The following is a 17,646-nucleotide window of genomic DNA, read 5'->3' on the forward strand; positions in this document are numbered from 1 at the left end:
CAGCATATTGAACACTGACTTATGTCAGGAATGTGCTAAATGATGTAGTCATAAACAAAACAAAAATGTCCTTAGAGATCTTGCATTCCAACAGGTGTGACTGTAAATCCTGTTGGCTTTCCCTTCAATGTATATTCAGAATCTCAACACTTCTCACTACCTCTATTGCTCCCTCTCTGGGCCAGGCCAGGATGATCTCTGCCTGGGTGATTGAAATCAGTCTTTATAATGGTCTTCCTGCTTCCACTCTATTTTCAATATAACAATTAAGAGTCATCCCTTTAAAATGTTAAGTCAGATTATGTTTCTCTTGCGGTAAAAATTCCCCAATGGATCTCCACCTCACTTAATAAAACTCAGTCTTTTTTCATGTCCCACAGCTTGCCTCTTCCCTGCTAACTCTCTGATCTCATTCATTAGCAGCTTGCCCTCTTTTCGATATTCCTTGAACCACCACAGAGTCTTCTGCCTCAGGAACTTTGTACTCGCTGTTCCCTTTGCCTATAATGGTCTTTTCAGACATCTGTATGGCCTGACCCTTTACCTCGTTCAGGTATTTGCTCAAGTATCACTTTTCTGGTGAGGACTTAAATTCACAAGCTCCCATTGTTGTTTGTGTATGTGTGTATATATGCATTATACCCACACACCTGTACTAGATTACAATGTTTAGAAAAATACTGAGCACTATCTATTTATTCCAGAGGTTCCTTCAATCCCACTTCAGGTTTCGGTAAGCCTTTGGAAGACAACCAATAATCATTTGTAGTTTTAACAGGGGGTACTTACTTTTATTCTAGAGCACTTTTCTCTCAGGCTTTCCGTAAGGTGCTGTTGTCCATCACTTAGTAACCTTTTTTCAGGTTTTACTTGGTGGTTCTGTCGGTCCTGCTTTGGTAAAAAGAAAATAAACAGGGCTTTTGTCATGACTATATTCACATATAATGTCTAATCGCACACTTCTAAATTACATGACATTTCAATAATGGAATTAAATATTATACTTGTCACTCAAAAGCAATGTTAAAATGATCAGAAAATGAATAATAGTATCAGTAAGTTTTATAGGGAGTGACCTTAACTCATTGGTAAAAAAGTAGAAAAATCATCTAATTTTTGGAGACAGGATTTGTTTTTCATAGCTACAAATTAGGTTTTAGGGCCAGGCATGGTAGCTCACGCCTGTAATCCTAGCACTTTAGGAGATCGAGGCAGGAGGATCACTTGAGCTCAGGAGCTCAAAACCAGCCTCAGCAACATAGTGAGACCCTGTCTCTATAAAAATAAATAAATAAATAAATAAACAACCAGGAAAACAAATAAATTAGATTTTAATTTCTGATTCCTACTCTTCCAAATCTCTGCATTATTCACTTGTAGTTTTAACAGTGGCACTTGCTTTTATCCTAATGCACTTTATTGGCGCCAACCAAATATACTGGCAAAACCACCTGTACTGTCTATGGTGTTTCAAACCCTAGTCATATATTCTTCCCAGCACCTTGGAAAAGTTCATATCCTGTGTACATTTTGCATTTCTGATTAAAAAGTATAAAGTGAAACAAAAACATTTTCTCCCACTTATCTTGTTCACTACAGTACCTAGAAGAATATTTGATGAATGAATTAAATCTCTCTATAAATTTAGTTCAGGCCCACATAAAGAAATATGAGAATAAAAAAGATTTTTACAGATTTTAATAAACTTGTCTGAACTCTGTTACTTTCAAAAAGAGGATTTAATTAGATATTTTAAGATATATGATTCTGAATATCTATAAATAGTCATACCAGAGGAACTTAATTTTTATATTTATCTTCCCTTTTTTCCTTTTAACTTCACCAATAAGAGCCCAACTCTAGAACTCCAGCATGTATAGGTAGAGAAATGGGAATATTTGCTCTCTTACAAATCTAATCCTTCAAATATTTCTCCATTTAGAATAATGCTATCTCTTGATTAAAAAAAACTTTAAAATGTTATATTAAGGGAAATAGACTGCTTTAACACAGTTTATAAAAATAAAGAATTAAATGTTATTTTCTGAAAATATTTTTGCTTCTTTTAAAACTGTTTTCTATTGTGTAAAAATTAGAGTAACCATTTCCCACTGTCCTTTACTGTTCATAGGAATTTCCAGAGAAAGAAATAAAAACATTGTAATTCTTTTCAAAAAAGCTTAATTCTTATTAATAGTTACTACACAAAGGAAGACTCTGAACTCACTCTAGCTATCATTTCCCTTAAGGTTGCTATGAATTGGTCCCTTTCCATTTTGAGAGATTCTTTTATCCTCCTTAGCTCATCTCTTTCTTTAGCTACAATTCTTATTTCTTCAAGGCTTTCATGAAGTTTCTTAGTCAACTGGAAGTTATCCATTCTCACACTTTGCATAGATAAGTTTTGGGCCTCAAATTGCTTCTTCAACTGTTCCATTTCATTAATTTTTTTATGACTCATATTGACATCTTCTTTCACTCTAAGCAGTTGAAGTTCTTTTTTCTGAAGTTCTTGGATCTTGAGATAATTGTAAAACAAGTTAGAATGTAAGCAGTTTCTTCAAGGAAGGCAAATAGTGTCTACTTGTGTTCTATATGCACATATCTATCTACATATCTGTATCTATATCTTTTTAATTCCACAAATAATTTTGGGCACAGTTACTTCCAAAAGAAGAACAAAACAACACATACCTTTTTCTGTAATTCATCTTTTGATTTATCTAAATCCTTTTGAATGTCTGAAATTTGAATTGTCTTTTCTGAAATTTTTTCTCTAAGTTTATCAACAGTTTCTTTGTGTTCTTTTGATAGCATACGAGCAGTTTTTAGTTCCTGTTGTATTTCCAGATCCTTTATGGTTAGAAGAAATCAAGAAATGTAATGATATAAAGGCACGTTACCTTTACTTAATGATTGAGTTTAAACAAAATCTTAAAAATTATACACTCACAGTTAAAAACAACCATTATACAACCTCCTAAATTAGAAGAGTAAAGTAAAATTTTCTGCTGGTAGCCTCACCCATAGCCTTCTCCTTTCATACCACTTGGACATCTTTCTAAATCAATATCACAAAAAGAATACCCCATTCTTATGCTTAGTTTTCCATTATACAGATAGTGCCTTATTATTGGTGGACACTTAGATTATTTCTAGGTTTTAGTCACCAGACACAACGCTGCAGTGAACACTGTATTTTTGCCCAAATATGTGAATATAATGGTAGGGTAAAGAGAGAACACAACTCACTCTAGCTTTGGTTTCTTGCAGGCTTTCCTTGAGTTGGTCTCTCTCCAGTTTGAGTGTCTCCTCTACTCTTCTTAGATTATCTCTTTCTTTCATTACAGATTTCATTTCTTCAAGGTTTTCATGAAGTTTCTGAGCCAAATTTAAATTCTCTATTTCTAATTTACTCAGAGTTAAGCTTTGGTCTTTTATTTGTTTCTTTAGTTGCTCCATTTCAGACACTTTTTTCTGTGTCTCATTGACATCTTTTTTTAACGTAATAAGTTGATGTTCATTTGCCTTAAGTTCTTGAATCTTAAGATAATCATAAAATAATATGTTAGGTGGCTTTTTAGGGACAGATAAATAATAGTTTCTAAATTGATTAAGACAACTGTCTACCCATGTTACTCTCACTGATATCCTGCACAATTCCACACAGAATTTTACTTTCTTTTGAGGTATAATATATATAAAGCATGCTCATCTTCAATGTATAACTTAATTATTCTTGACACAGGTGTAAATCTATGAAACTACAACCCAGATTAAAACAGAGAATATTTCTAGCACTTCATAAAGTTTCTGTGTGCTCCTTCCTAGAGACAGCCACTATTCTGACCTTTATCATCCTGGTTCAGTTTTGCCTGCTTTTGAACCTATATATCACAATGTATGTATCCATTTTCCTGCTGATAGACATTTGAGTTTTCAGTTTTTTGTTATTTTGAATAAGGCTGCTATAAACATTCTTGTGTCTTTTTATAGAAGTATGTACGTACTCTTTTCTCTTATGTACATACCCAAGAAGTGGAAATGTTGGGCCTCAGGCAGGCTACATCCAGCATTAGTAAATACTGCCAAGGTGTTTTCCAGTGTGGTTGAACCATTTTATATCCCCAACAATTTTAGGCACAAACAAATTAGATATCCAATCAAACAATCCCCCCATAAAAATACCTTTTCTTGTAATTTAGCATTTGAATTTTCTAAATCTTTTTGCATATTTGATAGTTTATCTGTCTTCTCAGAAACAATTCCTCTGAGTTTGTCAATAGTTTCCTGCTGCTCTTTCAGATGCATGTGAGCAATTCTTAGTTCCTCTTGTATTTTCAGATCCTTTACCATTAGAGAAATTTTAAAAACAGTGACATATCTTAATATTAGTTTTTAAAAAATAAAGTGATATATTTTCTTAGTAAAAATAATAACACTGTTACTCTATATCTTTGCTGTTGTTTTTAAGGTACAGGCTTTCTCTTCCCTGTCCTCCTCTCTTCACACTCTACTTCTGCTTTCCAGAGGCAAACACATTACACATATATTACTTTTTTTAAGTGTTGCATAGTATTTCGATATATTGTTCATATTTACTGTTTCCTTCTGAGGAACATTTAGATTGTTTCAGATTTTTAATTAAAATCACTACAATAAATAACCTGTGGCATATGTATACGTTGTGTTTGTATATACACACACACTCCTTTAACAGTATATATGTAGGCTAAAGTCCGTAAGGAAAATGATAATTGCAGACTTGAACTTTTCAAGAACAGTACCAAATTATCTGCTTAAAAGGCTGTATCATTTCATTCTTGCCAACAGTAGTACTTGGTTCAAAGAAGGGTTCATTGCTGTAAGAACACAATACATTGAATTGCCAGGGAGAGGAATGAGCTTACTTTAGCTTCTATTTCTCTAAGGCCTTCCCTAAGTTGGTCTTGCTCCATTTTAAAGATTTCCTCTACTCCTCTTAGGCCATCATTTTCCTTAGTAACAAATCTTACATCCTGAAGGTTTTCATGAAGCTTCTGAGTCAATCTTAATTTCTGCGTTTCTACACTTTCCAGAGTTACATTCCAGGCCTCTAACTGCTTCTTTAACTGACCTGTTTGATACATAGTTTCCCTAAGATCATTTTTTACTTTAAGAAGTTGAGGCTGGGCCTGGCGGCTCATGCCTGTAATCCCAGCACTTTGGGAGGCCGAGGCGGGTGGATCATGAGGTCAGGAGATCGAGACCACCCTGGTCAACACGGTGAAACCTCCTCTCTACTAAAAATACAAAAATTAGCTGGGTGTGATGACATGCATCTGTAATCCTAGTTACTTGGGAGACTTGAGGCAGGAGAATCGCTTGAACCCGGGAGGCAGACATTGCAGTGAGCCGAGATCATGCCGTTGCACTCCAGGCGACAGAGCGAGACTCTGTCTCAAAAAAAAAAAAAAAAAAAAAAAAGAAGTTGATGTTCTTTCTCCTGAAGTTCTTGGATCTTGAGATAATCATACAATAAGTTAGGATTATCAGTAGATATAAAAAGATCAATGATAGTTTCTAAATTGAGTAGGCAAGTAAGTCTTCACTTGCCTTCAATTTTAGGGTAATTCATATCTTGTTTCATTACACAAAAAGTTTGATTCAAACTCTCAGTAACTGAGATAACTTAAAAATAAAATACCTGTGCTTTTAAGGCATCATTTGAGTGTTCTAAGTCCTTTTGCATATTTGATATTTCATTTGTTTTCTCTGAAACAATCCCTCTTAGTTTATCAATAGTTTCTTGGTGCTCCTTCAGATGCATGTGAACAATTTTTAGCTCCTCTTGTTTTTCTAGGTCCTTTATCAATAGAAAAATAAAAATAATACATTGAGAGTAGTACCATCCACATGCTATAGAAAGGTATAGGGCAGGAGGTAAAAATCTTCCACCCTCTTCTGAGGCCTCCTAGTTCTCACCCTCTAAGCTACTTTTAGATGTCAATACATTCTAGATACACTATTCCTGAACTTACCCTGTTCCCTAACAGGACACTTCACCCTTCAAATCAGCACTATAGCTCTACCACATTTTTTATTTGTGGCATAGAATTCCATGACGTGAATGTGCTGCACTTATTTAACCAGTCCCTTACCAATGGATGGTTAGAATTTTCCCTGTTTTTGTTTGTGTTATTTCATTATTGCAACTTGTTGCAAAGAATATCCTACAAATATCTTTATACAGTTGTGCAAATGTGTGGAGGATAGTTACAACTGGACTTGTGGATCAACGAATAAACCTTTGGAAAAATTTGGAAGGTATTTCCAAATATACCCTCACCAACTTTCCTCAATATTGGACCAATTTTATCTTATTTTATTATTTTTTATTTTATTTTACTTTTTGAGATGGAGTCTTGCTCTGTCGCCCAGGCTGGAGTGCAGTGGTGCGATCTTGGCTCACTGCAACCTCCGCCTCCTGGGTTCACGCCATTCTCCTGTCTCAGCCTCCCAAGTAGCTGGGACTACAGGCGCCCACCACCACGCCTGCCTAATTTTTTATGTTTTTAGTAGAGATGGCGTTTCACCATGTTAGCCAGGATGGTCTTGATCTCCTGACCTCGTGATCTGCCCGCCCTGGCCTCCCAAAGTGCTGGGATTACCGGCTCGAGCCACCGCGCCCGGCCTGGACCAATTTTATACTCCCACCAACCCTATGGCAGATTTTTCTCTTAGGACTCAATGTCATAGTTACTAGAGGTGTAGAGAGATGGTAACTCACTCTAGTTATAGTTTCTCTAAGGTTTTCCTTGAGCTGGTCTCTCTCTACTTTGAGAGTCTCCTCCACACTCCTAAGGTCATCTCTTTCTTTTGTTACAGATCTCATTTCTTCAAGGTTTTCATGTAGTATCTGAGTCAACCTTATATTCTCCGTTTCTATGTTTTCCAGGTTTAACTTCTGGGTCTCAAATTGCTCCTTCAAGTGTTCTATTTCACACATTTTCTCCTGAGTCTCATTGACAGCTGTCATCTTAAGAAACTGATATTCTTTTTCTTGAGATTCTTTCATCTGAGAAAATTATAAAGTAAGTTACAACATAGGCAGAATTTTTTTAGGAAAAGGAAGAACTGTTCCTAAAATAAGGCAATCATTTTTACATTGTAATCTAATGTATGTAGTACTTTCTTTCATAAGGGATATGAGTAACAATAATTAGATGTCATTTTCCAATTTAACAAGTCCCACTTTTTCCTGTAATTCACCATCAGAATTTCCTAAATCCCAATGAATATTTGCTACTTGAGCTGTCTTCTCTGAAATATTCTGTCTACTAACAGTTTACTGGTACTCAGTTGAATATAAGCAGTTTTTGATTCCTCTTTTATTTCCGGTCCCTTTATGATTAGAGGAAAATTAATAAAACTTAACATGAACACCGTCATTATCACCTTAACACTATTTCTGTATCCAAAAAAAAAAAAAATAAGATGGGAACTTACTTTAGCTACAATTTCTTTAGTGTTTTCTTTCAGTTGGTCTCTCTCTATCTGAAGGGCCTCCTGTACTCTTTTCATTTCCTCTTTTTCCTTAATCATAATTTGTATTTCTTCTTGACTTTCTTGAAGTCTGTTGGTCAACTCGAGCATCTTACTTTCTATACTTTGTAGTGCTGAATCCTTGGCTTTGCGATGCTCCTTGAATTGTTTCAGTTCATTCACTTTTTCCTGAACCTCACTAATTTGTTTTATATTAAATTGTTCCTCTTTCTCATAAATCTCTTGGATCTTAAACATAATTATAAAATAAGTTAATAGTCATAAAAATATGTAAACACACACACACACATACACAACTTAAGAGGAAAAGGTTGCTTCCCAAAACAATTAAGCATGCCAAATAGTAGTCTTCATAATTCAGTTAGCTACTCCAAACCCACCCATTTCCTCCCACTGTTTCTTCATCCCCAATTTACCTTGTTCTGTAATTTATCATTGATTGCTTCTAACTGCTTTTGAATGGTTGATATTTCAGTTTCCTTCTCTGAAAGATTCACTCTTAACTCATTAATAGTTTCCTCTTGTTCTTTCAGGCAACAATGAGCAACTTTAAGTTCCTCTTCAGTTTCCAGGTGCTTTATTATTAGAGGAAATTCCAATAAATTTATAGAAACATTATAACTATTTTGTTGTAATTAACTCCCCTTTCCAAATATTTAGGGTTTATAATAATATTTGGTTACAAAATATTTTTTAAAAACATGGTGAAAGATGAAACCTACTTTAGCTACAATTTCTTTTATGTTTTCTTTGAGCTGGTCACTTTCAGATTGAAGAACTTCTTGCAGCCTCTGTAGGTCATCTTTCTCCTTAGCTACAGATTTCATTTCATCATGACTTTCTTGAAGTCTTTTGGACAATCCGAGCATTTCTATTTCTATCCTTAGTAGTGCTGAATCTTTGGGTTTGAATTGCTCCATCTCACTCACGATTTTGGTAGTTTCATTGTCTTTTTCTTTCATATTTAAGGACTGTTCTTGTTTGCTTTGAGACTCCTGGATCTTAAGAGAATCATAAAACAGTACAGTTGATATCCAGAGATATTGTGTTTTAGGGGAAAATAAATCAGGATGCTTTCTAAAACAATTAAGGCAGGATTCAGTGCCTCATTTACAGAGCAATCTCTCCATTCTCCCACTCTTCCATTATTCAGGCATTTAATGCTTTTTAAAAATTGAGGTCTCACTGTGTTGTCAGCATCTTATTCGAGGCTGGAGACAAAATGATGAGACTTACAGGATCTCTCTCTTTTTGAGACTTATACTTCAAGGACAAAGATAGATATGATGTTGAATCTTACCAAATAGAGATGCTGGCTTCTCCTACGGCCCAAGTGTCAAATATAATCTATTGTGAATGATAGGAAGGGATTCCTAGAGGAGAAAGCTTTAACTGAGATCTGAAGGATAAGAGCATTAGTTAGGCAAAAAGGAGTATGGAGGTACTGCAGGTAGAGAGACCTGAGAATCTGAAAGCCATGAGCTGCGGAAGAGAGTTGCTGGAGAACAAAGAATAGGAAGAAGAATGAATTGAAATAAGACCGGCAAGATCTGCACCTAGGGCCTCATAGGCCACATAAAGGATCCTGGTCTTTATTTAAAAAGTAGCAATAAGATATTAAAAGAATGTAAGAAAGGATAACTTAGGCTTAGTATAGAAACTGGATTAGAGAAGTCTAAGAATGAGTGTGGGAAGACCAGTTAGGAGACTACTGCAGATAGCCAGGGAAAGAAATGATGTTGACTTGGATTAGGGTGGTGGCAGTGTGGAGAGAAAAGCAGGATGACTTTTAAAATACACACTCAAATCAATAAGATTTGGTGACTGGATTACAGAATAAGCAGAGAAGGAGGCATATTAGTAGGGATAGCTCCCAGATTTCTGACTAAAACAATGAGAAAGCACAGTAGTGCTTTATGAAACATTAAAGGAACAGGTTTAAAAAAGAAAATAAAACAATCTCATATTTGGTTTCACCCTTTCTTGTAATTTAGAATTATTTTTTCTAAATTATTTTTTGAATATTTAAGAAAACAGTTCTTTTCTCTGAAACATCTTCTCTCTGTTTCAATACCTTCTTGGTATTCAAGAGCAATTTTTAATTGTTCTGTTTCTAGTCATTTCATGATTAAGAGACATTAAAAAAACTGGTAACATAATTATAATACAAACATTATAACTATAACACAAACACAAGCCTTGATTCTTATAAGACACTTGTTAAAATGGGAGGAAAATACGAAACTTACTTTAGCCAAAGTTTCTCTAATATGTTCTTTCAGCTGGTCATGTTTAACTTCAAGGGCTTCTTTTATCGTTTTAAGGTTGTCTCTTTCCTTGGTTAGAGATTTTATCTCTTCCTGACTTTCTTGAAATTTTTCATTCAACCTGAGCCTTTCCATTTCTATTCTTGCCAGTGTTGTTGAGTCCTTGGTTGTGGACTGTTCTGTTAATAACTCCAGTTCATTCATTGTTTCCTGAGTCTCACTGACTTCTTTCACATTAGGCAGTAACTCTTGTTCCTCATGAAGCACTGGGATCTTAGGACATTCATAAAATACCAAGGTTACTATCAGGAGATTATGATCATAATTTTTTTTTTTTTGAGACGGCATCTCACTCTGTTGCCCAGGTGGGAGTGCAGTGGCGCAATCTCAGTTCACTGCAACTTCTGCCTCCTGGGTTCAAGAGATTCTCCTGTCTCAGTCTCCTGAGTAGCTGGGATTACAGGTGTGTGCTACCATGCCTGGCTAATTTTTGTATTTTTAGTAGAGACGGGGTTTCACCATGTTGGCCAGGCTGGTCTCAAACTCCTGACCTCAGGTGATCTGCCTGCCTTGGCCTCCCAAAGTGCTGGGATTACAGGTGTGAGCCACCGCATCCCACTGGCCATTATCATAAATTTTTAAAGGGAAAAGATCAGGATACTTTTCACAGCAAGGAAAGTCATCTTGAACCCTCAGGCCTACCTTGGATCACAAACTGCTCATTATTCATTTTCCCTCAATTCCTGCTAAAGCTATTCATGACTTTTCTGGGTCACATTCTGTCATACTTTTCTTTCTTTGTAGCTTAGACCCAAAGTGAACCAATTATACTTTGCTAGCAGTCTGTTTCATACTTATTTCTCCACTAGTTTCCAAGCTATAAGAGAAAAACCATAGCTGAGCAAACTATATCCCAATAAATGTATGATCTCCATTTTCAGATGGGCTCCAATGCTATGTCTCAATTTTTCTATGTGTATAGATTGATTTCTCTTTCCATGATAAATTAGTGGTACCATGTAATTTTGCGTATTTCTGCATTTACCATATTGGAATTAAGGGATTTTCTTTCTAGTTTATAATGGGGGGAAAGAACAATGTCTTATTTATATCTACAGTCTCAATGTCTGGCATGGAGTAGGCTTTTAATACAGGTTGGCCCAGTAATCCCAATGTTTCACTTTCTCCATAGCATTTACCACTATTTAATGTTTTCTTGTTCATTTGATTGCTTATTTATCAGCTACTTTCTTTCACTACAAATGGATCAGAGGGATTTTAGGGGTTTTGTCCACCTTGTTCTCATTGCATTTCTATAACCTAGGAGTGTGCCTGCCACATTAAACACTCGACAAATACTTACCCAGTCAATTAATGAACCACATCCTAGCTACTTCTTACTGCTTATCTTTCCTTCAAAGGAGAAAGGAAGGAAGAAGTGACAAAGGATGAAAGGAATAAAAGACATACCTCTTCTTGTAATTTGGTATGGGATTTTTCTAAGTCCTGAGTATTTATTATTTGAGCTGTCTTCTCAGATACGCTTCTTCTTAGTTCATCAATAGTTTCTTGGTGTTCTTTTAGGTGAATATGAGCAATTTTTAGTTCTTCTTTGGTTTGTAGGCCCTTGGCGAGTGAAATTTAAAGAATATTGTAATATTCTTCCAACATTGCTCCCCTCTTTCCAAGTGGCTCAGATTTTAAAAGAAACACTTAATAGATGAAGGAAAAGGGTATAACTTACTGTAGCTTCAATTTCTCTTATATATCCTCTAAGGTGGTCTCTCTCTGTTTCAAATGACTTCTGTAATTCCTTTAGAACTTTTCTTTCTTTGGTTATAGATTTCACTTCCTCATAATTTTCATTAAGTTTCTGAGCCAACTCAAGCCTCTCTGTTTCCATATGTTCCAATGTCAATTCTTTGTTCTTTAATTCATTCTTTAAATTCTCTATTTCATTAATCTTTTTCTGCATCTCACTCATCTCTTCTTGTACATTAAGAAGTTGTTGCTGTTTTTCTTGGAGTTGCTGGCTCTTAAAATGCACAATTTTTATAATTACCATTTTACTTATATTCTCAAAATTCTTACACAAAATCATTAACAGCCTTGCCTCCTATCAGCATATAAATAGGTAAGTAGCATTAAAAGTAAATGAAACTCACAGGCATAAATGTCTGCAGTGGTTTGAATATTGTCCCACCCAAAATTCATGTCTCCCAGGAACCTCAGAATGTGAACTTATTTGGAAATAGAGTCTTTGCAGATGTAATTGGATTAGGATTGAGACGTGATCCTACTGGAGTAGGTCTTCATTCCAATGAGTGTATTTATAAGAGACATAAAAGCACATAGAGAGGCACAGAGAAGGAGGTCATGTGAAGCAGTTACAAGCCAAGGAATGCGAAGGGTAGCTGGGAGACACTGGAAGCTAGGAAGAAGTAAGGAATGATTCTTCCTTAGAGCCTTCAGAGGGAATATGGTATTGCTGACACTTAAATTTGGACTTCTAGGACTCAGAACTGTGACAGAATATGTCTCTATTGTAAGCCATCAAGTTTACAGCAATTTGCTATGGCAGCCCTAGGAAACTGATACAGGCTGATTAAGGAGATAAACTGATTAAGGAGATAAGGGGAAGATGAGATAAAGTAAAAAAGCAAAGAGACTAATTAAATATACAAATACAGCTACCAAATAACTATAATTCCTCATCCTCTTAAAAAACTTTTGGAGAATTTATTTTCACTTCCAATAAGATGCTTATGGGTGGCTCCCCCAAATACTGAGACATTAACCTTCACAGGCTATTGATTTTACCTTTTTTATAGGAGTATGAAATAGACATAAGGTTTTAGTAAACTCAATTAGGTGAGATAGTGAAAGGGATCAGAATTAAAAGAAAACACATATTAAGAAAAAAACAGGCTGGGCATGATGGCTCACACCTGTAATCCTAGCACTTTGGAAGGCTGAGGCAGGAAGACTGCTTGAGCCCAGGAGTTTGAGACCAGCCTGGGCAACACAGTGAGACCTCGTTTCTACCAAAAATACAACAATTAGCTGGGTGTTGTGGCACAGCTAATTTAGTCTCAGCTACTCGGGAGGCTGAAGTGGGAGGACAGCCTGAACCCAGGGGGGGTTGAGGCTACAGTGAGCTGTGATCATGCCACTGCACTCCAGCCTGGGTGACAGAGTGAGACCCTGTCTCAAAAAAAAAAGGAGGAAAGAAAAAAGAAAAAATATTCCACAGAATAATAACAGAACCGTACTATATTATCTATTATGCAAGTGGCACTGCCCTTAGCTTATATAGAAAGATCTCTATGGGTGCATTTTAGAATCTCTTGGGAACTACAGCTGTTACAGGGGTCTTAGCTCTTACACAAATATCCCAATAACACCTAACTTCTATATAAGAAATGATTCAGGAAACTGCAAACATCTAAGAGATGGTAATAGTGATAAATCTTACATTTCAAAATGACTAATGCATCTCTGCAAGGAAAGAATCTTTGTTTTGTTGACTAATATATCTCAAGTGCCCAAAACAGTGCGTGGCCCATGACAGTGCTCAATAAATATTTGATGAATGAATACATCATATGATTTGTTTAAATGATACAAAGCCCTCTCTCACCTAAAGACTCTGGAATAATATAATCCTCATAAGGTATGTTAGTTTAGATCTCAGTGTAAGTTAAAATTGTCCAAAATACTAGCATTGAAATATGTTCATTTGGGAGGTATGTGCTATTTCTGGATTTAGGTCTACAGAAATAAAAATTACCAAAAAAAAAGTTTAGTTAGAAAAAATGGCCAGGGAAATAACTTTAAAAATTCACCTTTTCCTTTAGTTTTTCTTCAACTTCTGCCAGTCTGTCACAGGTCCTAGAAAGCTCTCCTTCTTTCTTTATGGCATGGTTCTTTTCTTGTGCAACTATCTCTTGTTGCTTTTTAAGTTCATCCCCAAGAAGTCTTAATTCTTCCTGGTTTTCAATGGTCTAGAAAGAAAAAAAAAGTTGAGATTAAAGTAAATATTAGCTAACATTTATGAAATCAGGTAAAACATCAGCATTTCTCTCAGTCTGCAAATGAAGAAATCAGGGAAAACTATATAGGAAAAGACAAATTTCAAAAAAGAAAGTCCTTATTTTAATAATATAAGATGCCAAGAATCTGCTTTTTATACTGTTTCTTTACTGCTCAATTTACATTCCTACCATGAGAATTAGAATTGCATTTAACATTCTATCATGAGAGCTTAGCTTATTTCTACCTTTAAGTCAAAAGAGACTTTTTCTGAGCTATCACTGAGTAATAATGAGACTACAGCTATAGTTTTTTCAAACACTGGGATGGCTTTGGTTTTAGCACAGATCACTGCCAGCGAGCTCAAAATGGCAGCCACCCTCTGCTAGCATGACTTGGGCTGATCCTGGTTATTAGGCTCACACAGTGACATTCTCACGTATCAAGACCACAAAAACATAACAAGCCAGAGACTGAGAAGAAAATACCATTGTTTGTTTGTGTGCTTATTTACATTCTGCTCTTTTGATGAAGGAGACAATCCCCAAAACTTATAAAATTAAAACAATACAAATGGTCGCATTCTACTATGATCCACAGTGAACTTCTCCAAATATTTATTTAAACTTATACACATTGTATCACCCCTAAACATAGAAAACCTAAGTGTGAAAATATTGGCAGACATCAACAACAAACAATTAAAAATAAAATTTAAAAATTATGACAGCAAAAAAAAAGAGAAACATTTAGGAACAAATTTAATAAAATATTAAAAGACCTATACACTGAAAATCTACAACATACCTCTTTGAGAACAGACAAATTACAGAAGAAGATATACAATGGTCTAGAAGCATAAGAAAAAATGTTCAACATCTTAGTCATTAGGGAAAGGCAAATTAAAACAACAGTCTGCACACCCATTAGAATGGCTAAAATTAAAAGCACCAATAAATATGAAGTGTTGGTGAAGAAGGATGTTTGAGCCACCAGAATTCTCTTAATTTGCTAATGGGAATGTAAAATGATATAATTACTTTGGAAATCAGTCTAGCAAATTCTCATCAAGTTAAACATATTCTTCCCTGTGACACAGCAATTCCATTTAGATATTTACCTTAAGTAAATAAAGCTATGTAAATAAAAAGAGTTGTACGAGAATGTTTACAGCAGTTTTATTCAAAATAGCCAAATACTGAACGGAACCCAAATTTCCATCAATAGGAAAAAGAATAAAAAAATTATGGCGTATTAATACAATGAACTATTCCTTGGCAGTAAAAGGGAGTGTAGAAAGTCAAACATAAGAGACTACATACTGTATGATTCTATTTGTATAAAGCTCTAGAAGAGACAAATGATTTAAGGTGAACATATCAGGACTGATAATCTGGCGGGGAGGAGGTGATGAGGGTCTGTGATAGAGGTGTGAGGAAACTTTCTGGGGGTGATGGAAACATCTTCTATCTTGACTGGGGTGAAGAGGAAATGGGTAGAGACATTTGTTAAAAGTCGTCAGACCATACACTTCCACCAGATACATTTATTGTATATAAATTATACCTCAATAAAGTTGATAAAAATCTGAAACAAATGAAGACAAAAAGGTAATGCCAAGTATACAGTGCTAAATCCTACCATTTCAATATTTTCCTTTAGGTCAGTCTTCAATTGTTCCTTTTCTGCTATAACACTCTCTAACATTTGTTGGAGTTCATTTTTCTCCTGTATTAAAGAAAATATCTTCCTTTGTTGCTCAATTATCTCATTATCCTTAACATCTGCAGTTAGTGTTTGGGTATTTTTAGCTTCCAAATCCTGTTTTTTATCTATGCCAACCATCTAAAACATAAACACATTACAGAAGAATTTCTTAAGTAGTTAACAACAACTTTAAAAAATAATAAAAATAGCCAACACATCTATTATGTGCCAGGTACTATTCTCATATCTTAACACATTTAATCTTGACAGTAACTTTATGAGGTAGGTATTACCATAATCTTCATTTGACAGATGAGGAAACTGAACTGGAGAGAGGTAAAGTCACTTGCCCAAGGTCACTCAGAGGTTTAGCTAGGTTTTGAATCCAAGTGATCTGGCTCCAAAGTTTGTGCTCTTACGTCTGTTCACTAATCAGAACAATATGGACAACTACAAATATTAATAATTGTCTTCACGTATGATAGGTTAACATGATTCTGCATGTTTACTTATTTCAATGACATTAATACATTAATTAAAGGATATCTGCCTTTAGTTTGTACACATCTTCCATAAATATTTTCCAAGTTTCATTCTAGTAGTAGTTTGTTTATTTACTACTAAACGAGTAAGCAATCTTGAACTCTATCACTTTATCTATTTCCTCCTAAAAGCTGGGAATCATTCCCTGTCTCCCACTCCCTGCAAATCTTTATTTTCAGAGGCAGTCCTACTTACAAAAGGCTGGAGTTTTATTATATGTAGGGGGATAAATAATTTTGATAAAGATCTATTTCATAAGGGTGAAATTCATCTTTTCTTAATATATGTATATTTTATATACTGCTTAAGAAAAATGTTATATAAATTCATTTATTCATAAATAAGTCACGACCAAATGTAACCTAATACGTGAACTTATTGGTAAAGGGAGACAGAGACTGAAATTACTATTGCTGGTACAAATTTAGGGTATTATTGTATGACATTACACTAGTTCAGCAAACAGCTCCATATTGCCTACACAGGTATTTAAAAGTTTTTATAATAATCTATAATCACATTAGAAAACAATAGAAAAATAAAGGATAAAAATCATCCACTGTCACCAACTTCACACAACAAACTATTAGAATTCTGGTAAATTTACTTCTGGAGTTTTTTCCATTAAAGGTTTTTTTTTTGTTTTTTTGTTTTTTAAACATAGCTATTATAATGAATTTATATGTGTGATTCTTTTTAGTTTTTATCTTTTCCACTTAGATCATATGTATTTTCACATGTTGTTATGTAACCTACAAATAATTTTTAGTAGCTGCTTGATTCTCTAGAGTAGATATAAACTGTACTTTATTTAGCAACCCCCTTATTGTTGGCAATATGCATGAGCTTCTAGAAGATAACAGTGATCACAGAGCTAACTACATGAGAAATTAAGGTAGGGAACACGTAGTCTTTTGGGACTAGTCTGTTAGATATTATAATTCAGAATCTCATATCTTTCAAATACAAAGCAGATTGAGACAAAATTTTCTGTAATGATAGCCAAGGTTTATTTCAAATCTGAACTCAGCCTAGAAGGTACTTCAACTACCACAGTTATGAATAAAATCTAATAGATCTAATTATTAAATAAAAAATTATTAGAACCTGTGAAAAAGGAAAAAAATTGTCCTTTATATAAGAATAAGCTTACTAATCATAAAATATTTTTGTTGAGATACATTAAAAATACTGCATTTCCAGAAACAGACACATCAAGTAGGACTAAAAATGAGCATTCCAAGGAGATTCATGATAGACCTGCTAGTGCAGCTCTCTGGTGCCTAGATGAACAGGGGAGCACCTGGAAATCCCCATTTCCACTCTTTTATTCCCATGGCAGATTCCAGCATGAGCATGATACAAGACCAAATTGATCTCAGCCTTCCATCCCAGACTTTAGGATCCCTGGTGAACAGAATGGCCTCAGAAAAGCCCCAGCTACATCCTTTTATCAACATGGATAAATGACTCCAGCATATACTTGGTAACATAGGATCTTAGCTGTTCCCAGTGAGTATAACTCTACTCTTCCCTTCATCTTCTATTGTCT

General features: G+C 34.9%; 1 protein-coding gene across 17 annotated transcripts in view; it reads right to left on the minus strand.

Moving 5' to 3' along the window:
- CENPE (centromere protein E) overlaps positions 1–17,646 on the minus strand; it is a 92,533-nt gene that overhangs the window by 31,751 nt on the left and 43,136 nt on the right. For 2 of the 17 annotated variants that reach the window (XM_011531544.3, NM_001813.3), the window contains 15 exons: positions 15,486–15,689; positions 13,658–13,816; positions 11,557–11,847; positions 11,283–11,438; positions 9,795–10,085; positions 8,268–8,546; positions 7,962–8,120; positions 7,489–7,773; positions 6,770–7,057; positions 5,687–5,845; positions 4,189–4,347; positions 3,253–3,543; positions 2,695–2,853; positions 2,228–2,518; positions 790–888 (listed from right to left, as the gene is read on the minus strand). In XM_011531544.3, the coding sequence (XP_011529846.1) occupies positions 790–888; positions 2,228–2,518; positions 2,695–2,853; positions 3,253–3,543; positions 4,189–4,347; positions 5,687–5,845; positions 6,770–7,057; positions 7,489–7,773; positions 7,962–8,120; positions 8,268–8,546; positions 9,795–10,085; positions 11,283–11,438; positions 11,557–11,847; positions 13,658–13,816; positions 15,486–15,689 (3,270 nt within the window). Of the gene's footprint in view, positions 1–789; positions 892–2,227; positions 2,519–2,694; positions 2,854–3,252; positions 3,544–4,188; positions 4,348–5,686; positions 5,846–6,769; positions 7,058–7,488; positions 7,774–7,961; positions 8,121–8,267; positions 8,547–9,794; positions 10,086–11,282; positions 11,439–11,556; positions 11,848–13,657; positions 13,817–15,485; positions 15,690–17,646 lie in introns of all 17 variants that reach the window. The other 15 variants (XM_047449534.1, XM_011531546.4, XM_047449533.1 and 12 more) reach the window with 10 other exon arrangements.

Source organism: Homo sapiens, chromosome 4 (genome assembly GCF_000001405.40).
Source record: "Homo sapiens chromosome 4, GRCh38.p14 Primary Assembly".
NCBI lineage: Eukaryota > Metazoa > Chordata > Mammalia > Primates > Hominidae > Homo > Homo sapiens.